A 24,608-nucleotide genomic window follows, 5' to 3' on the forward strand; every position below is an offset into this window, starting at 1 on the left:
GAGGAGATCAATTTTTGAAAATAGATTCTAATTTTAAAGGGACCAGGGATCTTTATATTTAAAATAACCTCATAATGAATGTTCATGAAAAGAGAATGGAATCAGTTATCTATTTTGTAAATTAGGATTTCTCTATAGCAAAGTACATAATATCTGTACACATTGTATGTATAAATGTTAACATGCATTTACTTTTAATGTGTGTGTAACTTAATGCACACGGAAATGATAGGATGGGGTGAATACAGAATTAGCTCTGTAATACCTGGGGTTGAGTCTGGCCTTGACATAGGACTTTAGGCATATCTTTTAACTTCTCTAATTCTCATTTTCCCCACTGGTAAACCAGAAATAATAAAGTCTAGGAAATGAATGTGATACAGATTTATAAACTGTAAAACAAGTACAAGCTGATGTGATTTTTCTACTTATACATTCAAAAAGAAAACTTACAAGCTTGAGGAGAATACAAGGGGCTTCACCCTTGAAATCACAACTATAGAATGTTTTAAATACGGTTTTGAAATGCCAGCAGAGGCAGAAGAGAATTTCAGTAATTCAGGACTTAATTGGTTCTAATAAAAGACAGTGCCTTCACCCTACTGCTCGCCCCATGGACACTTTATACCATGAGCCTTTGTGAAGCAGAGCTTGGCATCTACCCAGACTTAGCTTAGAAGAGCCTGCAAAACCCGAAGTGTTTGTGGTGGGCAGCATTGAAACCAGCTCTGAAGAGATTTCCTATATTCGGGTTTCCTCCTGCTTTGATTTCATTGTACTTCTTTAGGCATTTCAATTACCATTTTGAACACAACATCTTTGAGAGTTACTTTGCTTTGTTTGTTAGTTCGGGAGCTCACAAATGGCCCCGACTGTGGGAAATAAAAAGTAAATGAGGAGAAGGAAGTCTTTTACTGAGAAACACTTGTTCTGACTGTAGATTAGGCGTAAGACAAAGCAAGCAAAAAGAGGCAAGCTTTTCAAGAGCACATCAACTTTGAAACTTCATGAAGGTCAGGGCAGGCTTGCTGGCCGGAAAGGCTTTTTCCTCCCATTAATATAACTGAACACAAATATTTTAGCATCTTGACTAAGTTAACTTGAACTTTCTGAATGAAAGAATTGGCATTCAAAGAATCTAGTATGGTTCTGCAAATACAGTGGAGATAAGAACAATACCCAAAACTTTACTGGCACACTTTTTAACCCTTTTTCTACCACAAAGTACTATAGGGCAAAGCTTGTCCCATGTCCAGCTGACTCTGAATGGCAAGTTATCCCGGCATAGAGGTGGTAGCACCACCATTTGTCTCTCCCTCAAAAAAGGCATATTTGTACCAAAGTGAGTGATAGTGCAGCCATTTATGCAAATAGCCATAATCTGGTTGCATTTATTTTTAAAAGTAAATAATGTTCTGGAATACAGCCAAACACTAGGATAATATTTAATGGAGAATAACTAGAGGATTTTTTTTCTATTAGTCAGGAATCAGACAGGGACATCACTATATTCAGTACTATTTACTGTCATGCTGTAATAGCCAATGCAATTAGACAAGATAAACCAGTTTGTGTCATAAAGAAAAAGGTAAAACTATCTCTGTTTGCATGTAATATAATTATATATCTGAAAAACTCAAAAGACTGAAAGGAAAAACTTCTATAAGTGATAGGAAAATAACAGGTTAAAAATTTAATATACAAAAATCAATAGCCTACATATATATAACCAAAAAAAACAGTGAAATATATATTGGAAGAGAAGACTCTATTTAGGGTAGTACATATATAAACTTTAAAAAGTGTTCAAAACCTATTTAAGGAAAACTAAATGTTCCCAGAAAAGTAAAACAGTAGATTGAACAAATGAAAAAAGACAAACCATATTCTTGGATAGGAAGACTACATTAGAAAGAAGTCAGTTTTCCTTTATTAACCTGTCATTATAGCATAATTGCAATTAAAAATACTATCCAGTTTCTATCAGGTGCTATACAGGTTTATTTAGAAGAACAAGTGAGAATAGCAAGGAAAACCATGAGAAAGAAGAAAAAGAGAGCCTAGCCTTTCCAAACATTAAAATGTACTATAAAGCCTCTATAATTAAAACATGTTGGTACTGATACATGAGAAGTCAGATAAACCAATGGAACAGAATAGAAAATCCAGAAATATGCTAACTGCATGTGTAAATATAGAGTACAATAAAGGTGGCTTCTCAAATCAGTGGGAAGTGATGGTCTTTTAAAGAGTGGCATTGAGATAAATGGAGAGCCATATGGAAAATAATCGCAGTATGCCAGGAAAAATTGCAACTCGATTAGCGATGTAAATGAAAGAAAAGAAAACATACAAATGCATGTTTTAAAATGAATGTGTTCATTTATAACCTGAAAGCTCAAAAAATATTCTAAACTGTGAATTAACATCCAGAAACAATAAGGAAAAAGATTGATGTATTCACTTTTGCATGGCAAAAAAAAACACCATAAGCAAAATAAAAATACATGACAAAATTGAAAGCGTATTTGCAATTTATATCACCAAACTTCCAAAAATAAAGAATGAGAGGCCATCTAACCTATAGAAGAATGAGATGAGATACAAATAATTTAACAAAAAAAGAAATGCAAATGGATCTTAAATATATGAAAAGTTTCTCCAACCTCACTCAAAAATAAGAGAAAGGTAAATGAAAACTATACCGAAATGCCGTTTCTCATCTATCAGATTGGCAAAAAATCTAGAAGTCTTACTACATATTATGTTGGCAAGGTTGTGAGAAACAAACATTCTTATATATTATTATGGGAATGCAAAATGATAAAACCTTTGAGTAGGGGAAATATGGAAACATATATAATAATAAAACTATATAAGCACCTGTACTTTGATCCAACCATCCCAATTCTAGAACCAAATATATGCTAGCAAAAAATATTTTAAAAATGGGCACAAGGCTCTTCCTTGCACACTGTTTCTAAGAACAAAAATTGGAGACATCTTAAATGAACACCAATAGAAAACTAGTTGAATTAACTGATTCATCTACTCACTGGAAGAGTATCTCTGTACTTCTGTGGCATTATCTTCAGGATATAATGCAGGGTTTCTCCACAGCAACACTACTGACATTTTGGGTCAGATGATTCTTTCTTGCGGGGGCTGTCCTGTGCATTGTAGGATGTTTAGCGGCATCCCTGGCCTGTACTACTGGATGTCAGTAACAGCCCTCCTCCAAGTGTTACAACCAAAAATGCCTCCAGACACTACTAAATGTCCCCCGGAAGACAAAACCCTCCCCAGTTGAGAACTGATGTTAATGTTATGTTAACTGTAACTGTAATGTTAAATGAAACAGCATGGCAGGGAAGAGTGTATATAGTATGTTTATATTAACAGAATGTTTGATGAGTAAACCATACATATTTTTAAAGTTATCTGTAGGAGAAGGGAATAGAGTGTAGGGGGAAGGTATAGAAGCTGAACTGCTTTGAATATATCTCTTTTGTAAATTTGACTTTGGTACCTTTATATATAATATTAAATTAAATATTTAAAAAGCAAGTCTAAAATTTGAACACAAGTGGAAACAAATGATGTTAGATGCATATCTAGTTGGTGGCACATCTACACAGAGAAGAACTATTCTAAGTGACTTTAAACATGCTGGTTTGACTTTATATTCCTAGTTGGATAAATTCCTGGTTATTCTTGCTTGTTCTTCTTAAACCTGTATAGCACCTGATAGAAAGTAGATAGTATTTTAAATTGCAATTATGCTATAATAATTGCAATTATTTATCCAACTAGGAATAAATTATAATTTATTTTATTATTATAATGATATAAATACATAATTATAAAATAAAAAGAACTACAAAATAATATTAAAATTATTTTTAATGATCATAGTTATAATATAATAAGAATGTTGGAATTATTCTGAGATTTTTGTGCATGTGGTTCAAATAAAGCAATGAATAATTTTGATGATGTCATTAAGCATGAGAAATTTCAGCATGAGAAAAAGGAGATACCAATGTAAAAATAATGAGATTAAGTAAAAACCTTGATGCTCTAATTTTGAATAGGAAGTAGCAATATGAACTCGTGCAATATTTACTTTTAAAAAACCACAGACCTTTCCTGACTCTGTCCATTGAATGAAACCGAAGCATAATAGCCAATCCAGTAGCAATAAGTATTCCTAGCAGCGGATCATGGTCTCTAAATTCTAACTAAAAAGAAAACAAGCCATTCTGGAGAAATGGATAATGGGAAAATGCACAAGATAACACTGGAAAAAATTACTGGTAGCAATTATCAGAAAGCAAGGAAGCTATCAAAGAATACTAGAGTTATGTCAAAAGATGTCAAGAACTAACTGGAAGAGGCTCCTACAGGCCAAGGTAGGGCTATTTATCATCATTAATATAATAACTACAATAGAGAGAAACAAATCAGATGTGATTAAATTCATGAGTTCATAATAATGGTTAAAAAAGAGTACCTCATTGGTCACTTTGGGAGGAGCTAAGGAACCAACTCACTATTTCAAAAGAATAAAGGGAAAGAATTATTTATCCTAACTTTCCTATATGAAATGTACTTCACAGTAACCAAATAGTTGAGAAGTTTCTTTTTAGAGAACTATTCCAGCTAATAAATGAGGAAGAAAATAATAGAATTAGAACATTATCAATCTGAAATTTTTAATGAATTATCTGTATAATGATTGCCAGTGTCTGCTAATATCACAGAACAAGAGAGAGAACCAGATATTATGTATCTCCAGATGGAAGTACACTAAATCACTCATGAAGGATTTTTGTCAAAGAAAAAGAAACAGAAAAAAGGAAATTGAACCTTAGCAAGCCTTTTAAATCAAACAATTTATAAGAAATACAGGGTACAGAGGGACATGTAAAACAAAACCACAGCGATGCTATGAGCAAAATTCAGACTGTGGAAACTAAACAGAAAATGGCTCAGTTTCTTCAATAACAACAATAACACCATAAAAATTGCAGGGAAATAGTAAGAGAAGAGTTTGAAGGAGAACCTATAAATTAAAATATAATTAACCCATTTATGGATGTATTAACCAAATGCAATGTTTGGACCTTATTTGCATATCTTGGTTAAAAGATTATGAATATATATATGTGTGTATATGTGATAAACAAACAAAACATACTTAAAAAACAATTAGAGAAGTATGAACACCAAATGGGCTGTTTGATGATATTAAGGAACTACTCTTTTCTCTGTTTAGGTGCAGCAATGGTATTGTGTGTGTTTGTGTTTATTCTAAGAGTTCTGTCTTTTAAAGATGCATACCGAAATTACATGATGGGTGGGATTTGCTTTAAAATAACGTGGGAATAGGCAGGGATGAGTGGGAGTTTGATGAAACCAGATTAGCAATTGATTATTATTAAAGCTGAGTGATACATACTTGAGTGTTCATTACACTATTTTATATTTGTCTGAAAATTTACGTAACAAAATGCTTTATGAAAGAAAACAATTAGAAAACTTATTGGGAAACTTCGTACCTTAGCTATCATTAGCGCCACGTTCTTTGCTGGACCCCTACTATCAGGACAACCACAGGGCATGGACACTGCCACTGAGAAGCTGTGACTGCTCTGAGTCCACCTCATTGGCTCCTTTGCCTCTTCTGTACTCCTTTTCCCATTCTGTCACTGCCTCCACAGAGGTCCACCAAGAGAAACACATAATAAGAACTTAAGATAATGGCAACTTAACAAACTAAGGTCATCTTGTGATCATATACATTGTGCATCAAAGAATTCCACAGAATTATCACCTTCAAGTGGTTGTCTCAGCTGTTCAATTAATAGTGAGAATATTGGTCAGCTCATAGTTTATGTTCCTGCTAATATAAACTACTGGTTTATTGTCAACCTCTAATTACAGAATGTTTTTATTAGTGAGTTTCCTCTGTGTTGCAAGAGCTACTAGAAGCTAGGATCCAAGGACGGGGAAGCGGGGAGAAAAAGAGGGAGGGCATACTTTTATTAGCAGTGAGCAAATTGGCATTAGTCATCATTCTTTTCTTCTTTTAACTACAGGTATTTATCAAAGTGCTGGATAATAATGATAATGGCCCAGAATTCTCTCAGCCGAATTACGATGTGACAATTTCCGAGGATGTGCTTCCAGACACGGAGATCCTGCAGATTGAAGCCACAGATAGAGATGAGAAGCACAAGCTGAGCTACACTGTTCATAGCAGCATCGACTCCATCAGCATGAGAAAATTCCGGATTGACCCTAGCACTGGCGTGCTCTATACTGCCGAGAGGCTGGACCATGAGGCCCAGGACAAGCACATTCTCAACATAATGGTAGGACCAAAATCCTAATTAGCACTCCTACAGAACCACTGACTGTTCAGGCCACACACATTAGCCTTCAGAAGTATAGGGCCCCTAAATTTTATAAGTAGTTGTAAATTTAGTCTTTTCACAGAGAGATTGCATTCATTTTTGCCTTTTTATTTCAATGAAGAATTACTGTTGTTAGATAGCAACTCTACATTTTTGCCAAACGAAAATATTAGATAAGTTCTGCAGCAATGGCTGCTCAGTAAATGCTCCAAACAGACTGACTTGAGAGGGAAGGAACAGGTCATGTTCCCAGGCTCTGGGGTTGGTTTGCACCCAGAAGATTTCATAGAAAAATTGAAAAGACATTCCTTAAGAAGTTAATCACAAGGGTAATCATTTACTCAGCCTATGCAATGCTCAGTCCTTGGAAGGATTTACAAAACCAATTTATTATTTATTGTACTGGCACTGGACCTAGTAGTAAATACTGGCACACAAAAGAGATCTCAATACATGCTCAAGCCTACAGAGAGTATAAATCTGAGTTTGTGTTCATGGGGCCTCCAAATTATGTAGGAGATATTGCTTTACTTTTAAAGTAGTGTTTAGCTAGTTCACATAATTGGGAAGTAGAGATGAATGAGAAACATCGTTGATTAATTTATGGCCTGAAGTCTATCTCTTCAACCACCCAAGAATCTCTGCGGCATTGCACAGCCACTTCCTGTCAGAGCCCCCACTGTGTTCCTTTAAGACCAGGTAGAAGGACAGACTTAATCTTCTGCACTGATTGGCTTTAAAATACTACACTAAGACAGTACAAATTCCTAAGCAGCTGAAAGTAATGTTCCACTAAGTGCTACTTTCCTTTCATAAGACTAGAAACCTTCCCCAACAAGAGGAAGCTTGAGTGTCATGCACTTAGCTATGGTTTCCAGCTAAGACTCCAGGAAACAGATGGGGTTACTTATAGAGGTCTTCCAGTCATCACTATGGCCCTTCATTCATTCATTTAACAAATATTTCTCAACCACTTACTGTGCACCAAACTTTCTTCTAGGCACTGAAGATACAAAAAAGACAAAGTTCCTGCACCCTAGGAGCTTACACTAAATTGGAACTGACCTAGATTTCAACAATCCCCAAATAGAGTTCAGCTTGGTCCTTGGGTATGGCAGACCAGTCTGCAGACAGGGAAATTCAGCATATTCACTGAGCTAATTCTGCATGTGTTTTCTCCAAGGGCAGAAACCTTGTGCTAGTGACTAACTCCATTCTCATGATTCTTTAAGTCATTTCTGTTCATTCTTTCTTTAACAAACTCAGAAATCAGTTTGGTCACCCTCTACCATTTATCACTTACATAATTGAATATTTACAGCAAACAAGTGCTTTACACTGCCTTTTTCCTAGCTAAGCCTTTTAGTCATTTTGCTTATTCCTCCTAGGTACTATTTCTGAAAACCCCTTTCTCTTTGATGGCTCTTCTTGGTATATTTTCTAATTTCTTCACATCTCTCTGCAGGTATGGAGTTTAAAATTGAAAAAGCCAAGTGCACATATTTGATTAGTGCTACATCAAATGATAGCAAAACCTTGTGGTTAAAGAAATGATTATTTTCAAACTTCTGCCATATGCAAACTAAAGGAAACTTTAAAACTGCCAAGCAAGGTTTTTTGGTGAAATCAGAAAGGAGGTGCTTCAGCACTTTGAAGAAAATGACAAATGGTTGTGTAAAGTGTGACATTTTATTTAACATTTCTCTAAGTAAGAAATTAAGATTTGATTCATATTCCCGATGGTCAGGGTTCTCTCAGCTCTAGGCTTTTGTATATATTGGCTTTTTTGCCTGAAAATGCCACACACTACTACCACCACCATTTTACCACTCCTACTTGTTCTTGTTACCTTTTTCAGCAAGCTAAATGCTAGGTTAGTTTCTTCTCACTATTCTGCGAGCATCTTTAGTGCATCCCGTGAGAATACTTAGCCCTGAGCATTATACCTATCTATTGTTTGTATTCCCACTTGACTCTAAGCTTCTTGAGGGCAGGAACTGTATCCAATTCACTGCTGAACCACCAGTGCAAAGCCAGGGACTTGAACAGATAGGTGACAATAAATGTTAGTTGAATGGATGAGTGAAAATGCCTACATTGTGTTCATTAATTCCAGTCTTTAATTGCTCCTGCAGAGGAGCCTCTACCCACTATTCTGTTATCAGCTGTGTACACAAATAAGGGGGAGGCCACTATATGGGGAGAGCCAGAGCACAGTGCTGTGTTTGTGATATCAAGGCATCAGTTCTACACACACAGACTGAGCACAGACCACAGGCCAGACATTAGGCTGAGCAGTAAAGGTGTTGTAAACCCTGCTCACGATTTGCTCACAATGTTTCCTCACTTCATGATACTACCATTTACTGAGCACCTACTAGAAGCCTGGAACTGGGTCAAGCACTTTGCGTGCATTATTTCATTTTGTTTTCACCCCAAACATAGCCATGTGAGTTCTTTGCAATTTAAAATTTGAGTCCCACCACTTCTTGTATTTTGCCTAAAGGTCAGAGATCAGGAGTTTCCTTATCGAAGAAACTTGGCCCGAGTCATTGTGAATGTGGAGGATGCTAATGATCACAGTCCTTATTTTACCAACCCACTGTATGAAGCGTCTGTGTTTGAATCTGCTGCTCTGGGATCAGCTGTTCTGCAAGTGACGGCTCTGGACAAAGACAAAGGAGAAAATGCAGAACTCATATATACCATAGAAGCAGGTGAGAGCTGTTGCACTGCACAGATTTCAGCATAATGCAAGGCATTCGACCCTCAGTAGTATTTATCACCATGTAAAATTCAGATCATTAACAGTGGAACATCTCTAAATGAACTTTTTTGGCCAAGCCGCTGTCCTATTTGGGAGATGATGGTGGATAACGTTCTTGATGTTTCAGTAATAGGTTTTCCATCATTAATAGCAAGGAAAATTTCCTTTGTTGTGTTTGATCTTGGATTTTTCTTGGATAGAGAAGAGAAAATAAATACGTAATAAATTTAGTGGCTTTTACCTGTGGACCAACAAGCCAGGGCCTCAGACTAAAATAACAAAAGCCGCCCGCCGATCATCTGAGGCCTGCCAGGGTGTTCTGTGAATTGAATCTTAACAAGTCTTTGTTTACTTGTGAATAGGTGGTCTGTGGGCTTCAGAAATTCCTTCACCCTCATAGTTAGCACAAATTCACATCATTGGAGGCAACCTGAGTAGCAGAGTAGATGGTAGATATGGAGTCTGAACTGCTTGCTGAACCTGACAAATAAATACAGGCTCTTGTTTTGTTAAATTTGAGATGTTTTAAAATTAATTTTAACATCTATAAGGTAAGATCATAGTTTACTGATGGTTTGAAGACTGATAGCTAGAAAGCTTTTATGACTGAGAGATGAATGGCTAAGCAAGAAATAACCTAAAAATGACAAATATCCTTTATCTGCTCTATGTTCTCCTCCCCATTCCATCTTTTTTGAATATTCAAGCCACCTATTTTCAAAATGTTCTGCAACTTATGTCTGTCGTGAATAATGCCAAATGCAATATCCTTTCATGCCAGGGATGGAAAGACTTCTCTCCTTTCATTTAAATGTAGAGCATTTTTGAGAGGAGTTGAATTAAAATATGAATGCTAGAATGACAGTTTTGGACTAGAAATTTTAGAAAAAGAAAAGCCAACAACCTTCTAAAAAAAAAAAGTTCTTTCATTGAATGATAACTTAGAACTATTTCTTGTATTAGGCACCCACATTTTACATGGGTCTGTGCTAAGCTCTACTTAAAAAAAGAAAAAGAAAAGACATGAGTTCATAATAGCAAAGTTTCCGGAGAGAATTTACCTATTTTTTTTCTAGGTTTCCATGGAATTTCCTTTCAATCTAAAGCCTGACCAGTGTTTTTTTAGAAATGCTATTTTACATCTTTTATTTTTCACAGGACATTTTTATTACTTAATTATATAATCTTTGTTCTTTGGGTTCCACAAATAATATAAGGAAACTTTTCCAAAAAATGAATATTTAAATCACATCCCAGAAAATGTCACCTAACCCAACAACTCTTTTTATTCTTTCTATGGTTTTTTCCAATGTTGTGTTTTTTTCTTTTCCCCGTATTCATTCATGCATATACATTGTTTCATGTCACTGTAATTATTTAGATATAGGGTTTTATTTCTACTTTTCTTACCATGTTCTAAACATTAGCTGTGTGTCTCTACCTGCTTTTTATATTTGTCATTAAGCCTGCTACTTATACTCCTTTTAGATAGCCAGATAATGTTTCAACCAGTTTGGAGTTTCTTAAGGAGTAATTTAACTTACCATCCAACCGAAAAGACTGCTCTGCTTATCTTTTGACCTCTACAGACTACAGCATGGTGCCCAGTCGTTTCTTTAACTGACTAAAACAAGACAGAACAGTTATTTCCTTAAAACATCTTTCATAAAGAAAACCCAAACTTCCAGAAAACCATGGGAACAATTGATATCGCAAAAAAAATGACCTTTGATTGTATGTAAGAAACTATTGAGGATTACAATGTTCACAATAAATCTCAAATGACCAGCAGGGCTCTTCACAGACAGACAGACAAACCCACACTGGTCCGCACTGGTCCTAGAGGAGCAAGTTTCTTCCCAGTTGAGGGTGGGAGACAGGCAGATCCCAGATGCTTCAGCACTTTGAAGCAAATGACAAATGGCTGTGTAAAGTATTATGTTTTATTTAACTTTTCTCACACACATCAGATAAGCAAGATTTCACTCTGTTTATTGGTGGGCTATAAATTTCCTGTCTCCTGCCTGTCCTCTAAAGTAACTACGGAAGCTTTTTATTTTGGCCTGAAGGACTGAGGCAGAATTTGAGTGCAGAGCTTCAGGTCTTATATCTAGTTTGAGTTTTGTGTTTGGTGTCAATGGTGAGTCTGAGGCAGGATTGTACAAGAGAGACTGGGACTGAGTTGAGTTCGGGTGAGGGCATATGGATCCCAAGATGCATATGAATAGAGAGTTTAAAATATTTTTTTTAGATTTACCTCTCCTCTCAATCATTCAACAAATATTAAGCAACTTCTTTGTAGCAGATGCTGTGTTGTGTACTAGATAAGGAATGATAAGAAAAGCACAGCTTTTATTCAATTGCCAAAAATCTACAAGAGGCCATAGATTCCAAAAAACAAACAGAGGCCAATTTTTCAGGATTCAAGTGTAGCAGGAAAGAATAAGCAGGAAGTGGATTCCAAGAGAATGGGTCAGTGTGTCAAAGAGGGAAAGAGGAGAAGGGCCCACTTTGGACCTGATGTATCAGCACACCATTCTGGAAGCGTGTCACAAGCAGATCAGCGGCCATGGGATAGCAGGATTATGAATTTCTACTTGAGGCCAGGCACAGTGGCTCGTGCCTGTAATCCCAGCATTTTTGGAGGCCAAGGCAGGTGGATCACTTGAGGTCAGAAGTCTGAGACCAGCCTGACCAACGTGGCAAAACCCCGTCTCTACAAACATGAAAATTAGCCAGGTGTAGTGGTGCCTGCCTGCAGTCCCAGCTACTCTGGAGGCTGAGGCAGGAGAATCACCTGAACCCAGGAGACAGAGGTTGCAGTGAGCCAAGATTGCACCACTGCACTCCAGCCTGGATGACAGAGCGAGACTCCATCTCAAAAAAAAACAAAAAATTATATTTGAGGTCAAAAGCTGGCTCCCTGCCATCCCCACCATAATCTATCTTTCTGGGCATGAAGAAATCTGCCGGGTGTGGAGTGAGGGAGGACTTACCTAGAAACTCTGCAGTCGGGCACCATAATCAGTGAACACCGAGATCCCTGGCTCCAGTAGCATTCATCAGTCAGGGTTGCATGTTGGTGCCATCACTGGAAGGTGACCATTGCTTAGGTGAAGTGATTTCCCCTTATAAAGTTCTGTGGATCACCTGTTGGATTCACACTCAATTCTATGACACTATTCATTGCAAGCTTGAACGTTTACTCATAAGATCATTGAACTTTTTATTATTGTCATCACAAAATGGCCATGTTTAGGTGGCAAAGTAATAAATCATGCCGACATCAAAGACAACATTGTTTAATATTCACATTTGGGGGGGCTGGAATCAAAATGACCTCTTTATTAGATATACTTTGTCTTTTAAAATAAGCAAGTATCTTCTTGAAATAGATGTTACATGAACATGACCATTTTGTGTTCAGACATGGAAAACTTTATATAATTAGCATGTAGGAAGAGGTATGTAGACACATCTCATAACTGCCCTGAAAATCCTGGTCCCTATTTTAATGATTTTAACATTTAAATTATATACCTATCATACTACAATACTCAGAAAGAAAAGTCCAGATAGAGTTGAATAACCAAGATCTTTAACTTTTGATTGGAAAGGATCTCAACACAGAAGTATATGTGTTCTTTGAGAAGTATGAGAAAGCCTGATAAGAGAAGCAAAAAGCAACTTGGTGAGGGATGCAACTTCACACTACCCACTGCCTTTCAGCTCTGTCACCACCTACCTTCTTTACATACTCCACATTGTGTCTTCCCCATTTTTTATTCCTCTGTTATTTCTCTCATTCTCAACAATCCCAGATTTCGAACCACAACATGTTTCTGAAGCAGAGCTGTAAACTACTACAGTGTCATGGCCAGAGCCCTTCCCCTGCCAGCTCTATCAAAGTGGGGTGCCCAGGTTTCAGTTTCACAAGGATTATGTCTCAGGTTCTTGGTTGCAGTGCTGGTTCAGATTCCCAACAGTTTCTTGGTACACTAGAAACACCTCAAATGCTTGGTGAATAGAATGGTTACAGATTGAGCAACTGCCCTATAACTTTTTATGTTTACTTTTATGTCTAGATGTGTGCATGTGTGTGTTCAGAAGCATGAGAGAGGGGTAGAGCATGAGTGGAGAATAGAAGAGAAGTCAGGAAAATTCATCACACTTACAAGGCAAATAATGACTTGCCAAGAATTCTCCACACCTGACTGAACAAACCCCTTCACCAAAGTAGTGTTTTGGATAAAGTCATTTTTGATAGGGTGAAATAATACCAATTCCATGTAGCGAAGTTTGCTTTTGGGATAATCAGAAAACAACTGACTACTTTATAATGCTCTGAAACTATTCCCACAACCCTCTTTCTTTAAACCTAGAACAGAAAATATGACACTGCTACCTAAACCAGTGGCATTCATATGTGGGCTTCCCAATCTATCTGTCTTCTCACAAGGCTGGAAATAAGGAAGTCCTATACATTCTTAGCAGAAAGATCTCTCCTTCGGGCTCTCTTATTTCCCAACTTGAATGCACATAAGACTGTGTCATTGTCATTGTGTTTTTAACCTGGATCTAGAAGTTACTGATCTGAAATTTACTATAATACTGGGAAACTCATTTTGGTTCCTTTTCAGTACCCCTGAAAGAGAAGCCTCTCATTTTATTTCAGAATGACACAGATGAGTACTATAATTGCTTTCTACTTGCCACATTGCAGTAAGGTACCTATAGATAAAGAGTTAATCAAAAAGATTTCAGTGACCCACATGTAACTCATTTCACCATTGATTTCTGTATTTTAGGGAACACTGGGAACATGTTTAAGATCGAACCGGTCCTAGGCATCATCACCATTTGCAAAGAACCAGACATGACGACGATGGGTCAGTTTGTCCTATCCATCAAAGTCACAGATCAGGGATCCCCGCCAATGTCTGCTACTGCAATTGTGCGCATTTCCGTCACCATGTCTGACAATTCTCACCCCAAGTTCATTCACAAAGACTACCAAGCAGAAGTAAATGAAAATGTTGACATTGGAACATCAGTCATTCTAATCTCTGCCATCAGTCAATCTACCCTCATTTATGAAGTCAAAGATGGAGACATTAATGGGATCTTTACCATAAATCCATATTCTGGAGTCATCACCACTCAGAAGGCCCTGGATTATGAGCGCACATCCTCTTATCAACTCATCATTCAGGCCACCAATATGGCAGGAATGGCTTCCAATGCTACAGTCAATATTCAGATTGTTGATGAAAATGATAATGCCCCAGTTTTTCTCTTTTCTCAATACTCAGGCAGCCTAAGTGAGGCTGCCCCAATTAATAGCATTGTCAGGAGCTTGGATAACAGCCCACTGGTGATTCGAGCCACAGATGCTGACAGCAACCGGAATGCTCTGCTTGTGTATCAGATTGTGGAGTCAACAGCAAAAAAGTTTTTCACGGTGGACTCCAGTACAGGTGCAATCAGAACAATTGCCAACCTGGACCATGAAACCATTGCCCATTTCCATTTTCATGTGCATGTGAGAGACAGTGGTAGCCCCCAACTGACTGCAGAGAGTCCCGTTGAAGTCAACATTGAGGTGACAGATGTGAATGATAACCCACCTGTTTTTACTCAGGCTGTGTTTGAGACTATCTTACTTCTACCTACCTATGTTGGAGTGGAGGTTCTGAAAGTTAGTGCCACAGATCCTGACTCTGAGGTACCCCCTGAACTGACATACAGCCTAATGGAAGGCAGTTTGGATCATTTTTTAATTGACTCAAACAGTGGAGTACTTACCATAAAAAACAACAACCTCTCCAAGGATCACTACATGCTGATAGTTAAGGTGTCTGATGGAAAGTTCTACAGTACCTCCATGGTCACCATCATGGTTAAAGAAGCCATGGACAGCGGCCTCCACTTTACACAAAGCTTCTATTCCACCTCAATCTCAGAGAACAACACTAACATAACCAAAGTTGCTATTGTCAATGCAGTTGGAAATCGCCTTAATGAGCCCTTAAAATACAGCATCTTAAACCCAGGAAATAAGTTCAAGATAAAATCTACCTCAGGGGTCATTCAGACGACTGGAGTCCCCTTTGACCGTGAAGAACAAGAGTTATATGAGCTGGTGGTAGAAGCCAGCCGTGAGCTGGACCATCTGCGTGTGGCCAGAGTGGTGGTCAGGGTTAACATTGAAGACATAAATGACAATTCTCCAGTCTTTGTGGGCCTCCCATACTATGCTGCTGTTCAAGTGGATGCGGAACCCGGGACTCTGATTTATCAGGTGACAGCCATTGACAAAGATAAAGGTCCAAATGGAGAAGTGACCTATGTCCTGCAGGATGACTATGGCCACTTTGAAATTAACCCTAATTCAGGGAATGTTATTTTAAAGGAAGCATTCAACTCTGACTTGTCCAACATTGAGTATGGAGTCACCATCCTAGCCAAGGATGGCGGAAAACCTTCTTTGTCTACATCTGTGGAGCTTCCCATCACTATTGTCAACAAAGCAATGCCTGTGTTTGATAAGCCCTTTTATACAGCATCTGTCAATGAAGACATCAGAATGAACACACCCATCCTAAGCATCAATGCCACCAGTCCAGAAGGCCAAGGCATCATATATATCATTATCGATGGGGACCCTTTTAAACAGTTTAACATTGACTTTGACACTGGGGTCCTGAAAGTTGTTAGCCCTTTGGATTATGAAGTTACATCTGCTTACAAGCTGACAATAAGAGCCAGCGACGCCCTTACTGGTGCTAGGGCTGAAGTCACTGTTGACTTGCTAGTTAATGATGTAAATGACAACCCCCCTATTTTCGATCAGCCTACATACAATACAACACTATCAGAAGCATCTCTTATTGGGACACCTGTTTTACAAGTTGTCTCTATTGATGCAGACTCAGAAAACAATAAAATGGTACATTATCAGATTGTCCAGGATACCTACAATAGCACAGATTATTTTCACATAGATAGCTCAAGTGGCTTAATCCTGACAGCACGAATGCTGGACCATGAGTTAGTACAACACTGCACTTTGAAAGTCAGATCAATAGATAGTGGCTTCCCATCACTGAGCAGTGAGGTTCTCGTTCATATCTACATCTCTGATGTAAATGACAACCCTCCAGTTTTTAATCAGCTCATTTATGAGTCATATGTGAGTGAATTAGCCCCCCGGGGCCATTTTGTAACCTGTGTACAAGCCTCTGATGCAGACAGCTCTGATTTTGACCGGTTGGAATATAGCATTTTATCTGGGAATGACCGGACGAGCTTTCTGATGGACAGCAAGAGTGGAGTTATCACATTGTCCAACCATCGGAAGCAGCGGATGGAGCCTCTGTACAGTCTCAATGTGTCTGTCTCTGATGGGTTGTTCACCAGCACTGCACAGGTGCATATTAGGGTACTTGGGGCTAACTTGTACAGCCCTGCCTTTTCACAAAGCACATACGTAGCTGAGGTGAGAGAGAACGTGGCTGCAGGAACAAAGGTAATTCATGTTCGAGCCACAGATGGTGATCCAGGGACTTATGGGCAGATCAGCTATGCCATCATCAATGACTTTGCCAAGGATCGATTCCTCATAGACAGCAATGGGCAGGTCATCACCACAGAAAGGCTAGACCGGGAAAACCCTCTAGAAGGGGATGTTAGTATTTTTGTGAGGGCCCTTGATGGTGGAGGGAGAACAACTTTCTGCACTGTGAGAGTGATTGTTGTGGATGAAAATGACAATGCTCCCCAGTTCATGACAGTGGAATATAGAGCCAGTGTCAGGGCAGATGTTGGAAGGGGCCACTTGGTCACTCAAGTTCAAGCCATAGATCCCGATGATGGAGCAAATTCAAGGATTACTTATTCCCTCTATAGCGAGGCCTCTGTTTCAGTGGCCGACCTCCTGGAAATCGATCCTGACAATGGCTGGATGGTCACAAAGGGTAATTTTAACCAGCTGAAAAATACAGTGCTTTCGTTCTTTGTCAAAGCAGTAGATGGGGGCATCCCAGTAAAGCACTCCCTCATTCCTGTCTATATCCACGTCTTGCCCCCTGAAACGTTCTTGCCATCATTCACCCAGTCTCAGTATTCCTTTACCATTGCAGAAGATACAGCCATTGGGAGTACAGTGGACACCCTGAGGATTTTGCCCAGTCAGAATGTCTGGTTCAGCACAGTTAATGGGGAACGGCCAGAAAATAACAAAGGGGGCATATTCGTCATAGAACAGGAAACAGGCACTATTAAGCTTGACAAACGCCTTGACCGTGAAACCAGCCCAGCTTTCCACTTTAAAGTAGCAGCCACTATACCCCTGGACAAAGTAGACATTGTGTTTACTGTGGATGTAGATATCAAGGTATTGGATTTGAATGACAACAAGCCAGTCTTTGAAACTTCAAGCTATGACACCATTATAATGGAAGGGATGCCTGTTGGCACCAAACTCACACAAGTGAGAGCTATTGATATGGACTGGGGAGCCAATGGACAAGTCACTTACTCCCTCCACTCGGATTCCCAGCCCGAAAAGGTAATGGAAGCATTCAATATTGACAGCAACACGGGCTGGATCAGTACCTTGAAGGACCTAGATCACGAGACAGACCCCACATTCACCTTCTCTGTGGTGGCCTCTGACCTTGGAGAGGCATTCTCTCTTTCCTCCACGGCCTTGGTCTCTGTCAGAGTGACAGATATAAATGACAATGCACCAGTCTTCGCGCAGGAAGTGTACCGAGGGAATGTGAAGGAGAGCGACCCACCGGGCGAGGTGGTAGCCGTCCTCAGCACCTGGGACAGAGACACATCCGACGTTAATCGCCAAGTGAGCTACCATATTACAGGTGAGTAAATACCCCCAGTTTTCATTATGTGCACTGCTTTATAAAGAAAGATGGAAGATGGCGGGGAGAAGAGTAAGAGAGAAGGAAGATGGGATAAGGAGTCCAGTGTAATGAAGCCTCTCTGGAGCTGAGTAAAGGATCTCTGAGCAGACTGCGTTTTTTGCTTGTTGGCTGTTGCTAACTCAGCCTTAGTTTGGAGTTCACAGGTTTGCTGTAAATGTGTTAACCATATTGGTAACTAGTCTTTGTGTCACCTCTTCCTATTTAAAAAGGAGTCCAGCCAAATATCTCAGTTGAAGGAATGAAAATAACAACTTTTTGGTGGAGAGGTTCTGTTTTTAAGCATGTTCCTTTTTTCTACCTTTTGCAATGCTGAGCAAAACAAATAGCTTGATCACAGTAAGCTTCACATGCACACTTCCCCTGGCCATGGCAACACCTGTGCACACATGTACACACATTAGATGGAATGGTTTGATCCTTCCCTGAGAAATCCTAAATTATCACTACAAATCAAGGGGTATTTCTTCTGACAACCAAAATTTTTTGGATTTCTTTTCTGTCTTTCAGAATAGCAAGTAGCAATTCAAGAGGAAAGCCAAGATAGACAAAGTCAGTCATTAGGAAGGCACAGAAAATGTCACTGTTGCCCTGAGAGGCTAAGGATTTCATGTCAGAGTGGTTTCCTGGGGGGCAGGCGACCTTTAACTGAAAGAGGAGAGGGTTGACAGTGTGGGAAGGTTCTTCCTAAAAACTATTTGGGGGGTGGGTTAAAGCTAATATTTTGATGTCGTCACATTCAAAGGCAGAACATAAACAAAGTGCCAAAAGATTGTAAAGAATCATCAATACTTGTAGTCAGGTGGCTTCCGTTTAGAAAAACTACATCATTCAGAGTGAAAAATGAATTAATTAGACTGCCCTTAGGACATAGAATCTGCTTGAGTATGTTAGTAGGAAAGTTAATTAATCACTGCAGAATAAGATCCACAGTAGAGCAAATGTGTCAATGCTTGGGGTTGCCACACTTTTCAGCATGATTCCCTTCCTTTTTCTTCATGGGACTGTTCTCTTGGTGAAGTTTTCCCCTTGAAACACTTTATGATCTATCTGAGACCTCTTTTTTGATTAAAATATGTATTTCTGCAGTTAAAACATGAAAGATAGAAGAAAGAGGTGAGTGAAGCATGACTTTAATTCATTTGCATTTATTTTCAGGAAAAAAAAAGCTTCTTAGGCATTCTGAAGGGTCCTTTTCTATTTGGAGAAACTGTAAAATACTCAGCCTTAATTATTTATAGATAGCCTCTGAATTGTCAATGGATGATTTAAAGGGACTATCCCATCGACTTTACCAAAGTAATGAGTACAGAGTAGCTTAAAGCTACTGTTACTATTAGCAGTGCCAACCACCAACTGATTTTAATTAGATTTAACTTTTGCTCTTGATGTAACACAACTTGGCTGTGCTGCCTCCAATTAACAAAGGACCATTAATCATTTTATGTAACAAAAGAACACTGTGGGCCTGCACTGAAAGCATTTAATAGAGAGGTTAAGTTTGTGTGCACTGAAATAATATTCAACTAAAGCATAATTGAATCCTGGCCAGTGGTGAAGGAAAGTGATATCCCAGGGAGGACCCTGAAGCTCCCTAGAGCAGGGTTGCTCAGCCACACCGCTATTGACATATGGGGCCAGATCATTCTTTGCTGAGGAAGGCTGTCCTGTGCACTGTAGGATGTGTGGCAGCATCCCTGGCCTCTACCCACTAAATGCCAGTAGCACATACCACCACCATCACTTCCCTCCCACCAATGTGACAAGCAAAAATGTCTCCAGACATATGTAATGTCAATACACATATCCCCACAGAGGGGAAGGGCACAGTTGTCCCCAGTTGAGAACCACTGCCCCAGAGGAATAGGCAGCTCTCACCTTTTCTGCACTGTCTGGCTGATTTGGTTTCATTGTATTCCACTGTGGCTTGCCCCCACTCCCAGTGCTGAGGCCCTCAGACTGAGCAGCCCCTTGCATTATAAGCAAGAATGCAGTCTGGCACTCAGAATCCCACCCCTTCCCACTCAGTCTCTTCAGTAGGACCCCGATATTTGCCCTCTGCTTTTTAAAGATTCATTGTAAGTGTGAGATATGGCTCCAAGTTTTCAATGAAGTAGCAGTTGGCATGCAGTATACTTTCCTTACTTGTTTATTTTCAGTCTTTCCCTCCAGAATGTGATCTCTGCTGAGACAGCAGATATTTTTGCTGGTTTTGTCCACTGATGTAGCCCTGCTGCCTAGAACAATGCCTGGCCCAGGGTATATGATAAATACTTGAATGCCCAAATAAATGAAATAGTGATCATCAAACCTGACTCCTGACTTACCGCCAGTGGTCTTCTCAGTCTTTCTCGGTGTCTGAAATGACATTTTTCCCTTCTTACGGATTACATCAAGGTCATCATCTTCTTCCTTCCTCCTCCTATCTTGTTCCCCAAGCTGCTTTTGCCCCCATGTAGCTTAATGATGTGGAAAAGTCATATTGCTGGGACCACTGTCCATGCTTCAGCATCTTAGAAAGCTGTTCCACTTCATCTGTTTTCTTTTCTTCCATGTTCCCCAGCTTCACTCTGATACATTTGGTCTAATTGCAGTGCTTATCTTTGAACTGCTTTTTAAATGACCCCTCGTTAGGGCTATTTAACACTAATGGGCCCTCCTCTGTCGTGAAAACTTTTCTCCGCCAAACTCCAGTTCTTATGAGAAGAGCGCAGCTGTATGATAAAGGCTTCATTAAAAGATTCCTTAATAGAACTAACTGCCTTTCCTTGACTGCATAATCAACGGCTAATGAAATTGTCTTGGTAACAAGAGCTAGAGTGTATTACATCCTCTCTTGAGACTAAGTGGAAAGACGATTGTGTCAGCCTGAGAAGACGATTGATTGTTCACAGTTTGAATTTGATTGTTCTTAAGGGGAACTAAACAAGAGATCATCTCCAGCTTCTCTAAGTGGATTTTATTATCTTGGAAAGTTACTGTTTTGCTTTCCACAGAAGCCAAGCATATAAATATCATGCTTTGTTGCCCAAGAATCAAAGGGAGTCTCAGTATCTTTGTAGTATCCTAAATGATACAGTTTAAGGAGTACCTGGATGACTCCACATGCACCTCTCAAGGTAGATGTAGATTAAGACATTTCATTGCACATCTTCAAAAGCTCTTTTGTTTTTTTAACTGCAGGAGGAAACCCTCGAGGAAGGTTTGCTCTGGGCCTGGTGCAAAGTGAGTGGAAGGTCTATGTGAAGAGGCCTCTAGACAGAGAAGAACAGGACATTTACTTTCTCAATATCACTGCCACTGATGGGCTTTTTGTCACACAGGCCATGGTGGAAGTGAGCGTCAGTGATGTGAATGACAATAGCCCAGTGTGTGATCAGGTGAGATTTGGGGATAGGGTTCTGCTTTTACTCTGCTTCTCCAAAATAAAATAAAAACCCATTTCACTTTTCTTCTTAAGGCCAGGCAAACTTCTGCTCTTATCTGCAATTGGGTGTGGGTATAAGAGGGTAGGAGGTGAAGTTTAGGAAGAAATATTGAAAACATGAAAAGAGTATAGGTAGCAAGATCAGATACCTAATTTTGTACCCTGCCCCCAACAAAAAAAAAAAAAAGAAAGAAACCAATGTCTTAAATAATTTTTTGAGTAATTCATAAAGGACTTTAGGACTTATTCTGTTTAAATCACTGATATCATAAAAGAGAAATGGACCACTCTACAGGATGTTAACTTGTTTATATAAGTTTACACATTTGGTTAGTGGCAATGTTGGTGCTGAACACTGGTCTCCAGGCTCCTTATGAAGTGGCCTTTCTACTACTATATAAAATATAATGCCATTGCAAGGTACAAGTACTAGATTTTATTTTCTCTCATACTGAAATTAAATCACTATTTATTCTTTTCTATCATGTGGACCAAGAGACAATATTGGTGTCCTATAGATTAGAAAAGTATTGCAAATAGATTTAATCTCTCATACTAATGCCAAATGCTGGTAGTGGCTCTTTAAAGAGTTGAAGAGAATTCCTAGGACTTACTGGGGCTCAAGAGAAAAACAGACAGCCATGGTCAATGTGTGGTGTGTGTTATGGTTCCACAAGAGTGGGGATGTTCCTCTGTTTTCTTTGCCGTGGTACTCTTAGTGCTTAGAATGGTACATATAGTGGATGCTCAATAAATATTTGTTAAATGAATAAGCATGGGAGTGGAAGAGCAGCAGATATACTGTGTTTCATAATATATTGAAATATGTTTCTGTAGTGAAGGAAAAAAATAACAAAAGCTAAATTATATAAATGAATTTTTAAAGAAATCCTATATAATGCTAAATATGGCAATTGCCCCCACAAATACTAATGATTTTATTACCTTTCTTCACCTTTGTCCAGGTTGCATATACAGCATTACTTCCTGAAGACATTCCATCAAATAAAATCATCCTGAAAGTCAGTGCAAAGGATGCTGATATTGGATCCAATGGATATATACGATACTCACTCTATGGATCTGGAAACAGTGAATTTTTTCTAGATCCAGAAAGTGGTAAGCTAAAATTTATTATTGAGATAAATGTCATTGTTAATTCATGAGAGAAGTTAAACTTATGTGGTCTCATCACTAGTAAATAGTTAGTAGTATACTTACTCTTATAGGGATGGAGGGAAATTTTCCCTTCCATCCTTTCTGAATGTTTGCTGAAATGAACTGACCACAGACAGATTAACAGGAGAAAAGGCATATGGATTTACTTATGTGAACGTGGGTAACACAGCCCCAAAAATAAGAGACCCAAAGAAAAGCCAGATGGTTAAGGCTGTTGCTAGGGGAGAGGGAAGTTGGGGGACTGTAGGCAATTTTAGAGGAGTAGTCAATGATTTTTAGGGGAAATGAATAATCTGGAGGGCATCCATTATTTTGTAAATAATTCTCCTAGGAAACTCAATGGAACTGGAAAATGTGGGGAGGTGACGGATTGAACTGACTGTGAACAAAGGTTATCTAGTTATGCAGATAAAGTCTCCCAGTTAATCTCTAGGAGCTTCCCTCAGAAGAAGAGATGAAAAATCTGTCTGGACATGGTGATGACTTTTAGTCTCTTTTCTCTTCTCTGGTGGTGAATCTTTCCCAGTTATTTGATGAGATTTCTATGGAGGGGGATCTTAAGACAAATGCATTTCTTTTGGAAAGAAGTTTTCTTAGTCAGATGAGGAAATTTCAAAGAGAGTCTTCACCTGCACTTGAGAGAGATGAGGGAAATAAGAGAAAGTTTGAAAGTTCTTGGTTCTAAGGCAGCTTTAAGGCCTTCCAAATTTTTTTTAATTCAAGGTGCTCAGCATGTCAAAGCACCATACTTTGGGGTATCATTCTCTGTACCCCAAGAATATGATGCTCAGTATCTTGGGCTCTAAGAAATTGTAGGGACATATCCAAATATGGGTACTCTGGACCACAGAAACTTTTTATTTTCTTTGTAAAACTTGCCCAGACTTTACCTACATTTATTAGCATCAAGTAAGCGGACATCTCTGTTTGCTTCTCTTGTTTCTCGTATCTGTAAGTTTTAAGGTATATGCTCGTAACAGGTATAAATGAAGTTGTATCACAAATGCAGGTTGCCACGAAAACCAGACAGCAATTTATAGGAAGGAGAATTTTTCTCACTTTGAAATGGCTTTAGGGTCCTTTTCTGATTCTTATTAACACAGTTGTCTAGTTTTTATTAAACTTTCTTGCCTAGTTTCTCCAAACCTATAAGCCCTCAGATTTGCTTGGTTGTATATTCAGGTAAAACTGACAAGGTGCAAGGTTATGTAAGCTAAAGGCAGATGCCTGCATTGAAGGCCAGAGCTAATGGAAAAACCTTTTATATGGTAGCAAATTATTTTAGTTTTGTAGATTAGATGACCCATCCAATGACATTTTAAATTTAAGCGTAAAGATTGGCTGGCTTGCATATTTCCAGTGTTGTGTTGGTTCTAGTGAACAATAACTGACTATTGAGTCTCCAGAAAGGTAGTGGCTCCTCCCTGCCCCAGTCTTGTAAGAGGTTGCATCCTACAAGGAAGCACTGACTTAGCTACATGGGAATATACTACTCAGCTATATGGGCCTGGTGATTATTTATTCAAAAGGTAACATTTATTGAGTAGCCAGTAGACATAAAAGTATTTTATGGGATATTTGTGGTAGACTCCAAGATAAACAAAATAAATCATGCCCAGGGGATATTGTAATCCAGTAGGGAAGACAGGCAAGTTAACCAATAATAACAATCAAGGCACAATGAAATGAGTGTTCAGGAGAAACATAAGGGGAGCTATATCTGGGCACAGATGAAGATGTAACTAATATTCTGATAAGAGGAAAAAGGAAACTGCTTAAAGGAAGAACTAGCATTTGAACTCAGCCAGGATTCTCAGTGGCTTAAACAGGACACTGCAAGTTATAGGAACAGCATGAGCAGAGAGCATAGCGCA

General features: G+C 38.8%; 1 protein-coding gene across 11 annotated transcripts in view, besides 1 other annotated feature; it reads left to right on the plus strand.

The window, feature by feature from the left end:
• The window catches only part of FAT3 (FAT atypical cadherin 3), a 671,656-nt gene that overhangs the window by 559,024 nt on the left and 88,024 nt on the right, over positions 1-24,608 (plus strand). For all 11 annotated transcript variants that reach the window (XM_017017179.3, XM_017017178.3, XM_017017180.2 and 8 more), the window contains 5 exons: positions 6,102-6,377; positions 8,926-9,136; positions 13,995-18,068; positions 21,312-21,508; positions 22,521-22,674. In XM_017017179.3, the coding sequence (XP_016872668.1) occupies positions 6,102-6,377; positions 8,926-9,136; positions 13,995-18,068; positions 21,312-21,508; positions 22,521-22,674 (4,912 nt within the window). The remainder of the gene's footprint in view (positions 1-6,101; positions 6,378-8,925; positions 9,137-13,994; positions 18,069-21,311; positions 21,509-22,520; positions 22,675-24,608) is intronic.
• Positions 9,248-9,863: an enhancer, noted in NCBI's record as "OCT4-NANOG-H3K4me1 hESC enhancer chr11:92526255-92526870 (GRCh37/hg19 assembly coordinates)". NCBI's record gives its function as "activates a minimal SCP1, AML or CMV promoter by ChIP-STARR-seq in naive and primed H9 embryonic stem cells {active_cell/tissue: H9 hESC(naive and primed)}" and the evidence as "EXISTENCE:reporter gene assay evidence [ECO:0000049][PMID:30033119]".

Source organism: Homo sapiens, chromosome 11 (assembly GCF_000001405.40).
Source record: "Homo sapiens chromosome 11, GRCh38.p14 Primary Assembly".
In the NCBI taxonomy this organism is placed as follows: domain Eukaryota; kingdom Metazoa; phylum Chordata; class Mammalia; order Primates; family Hominidae; genus Homo; species Homo sapiens.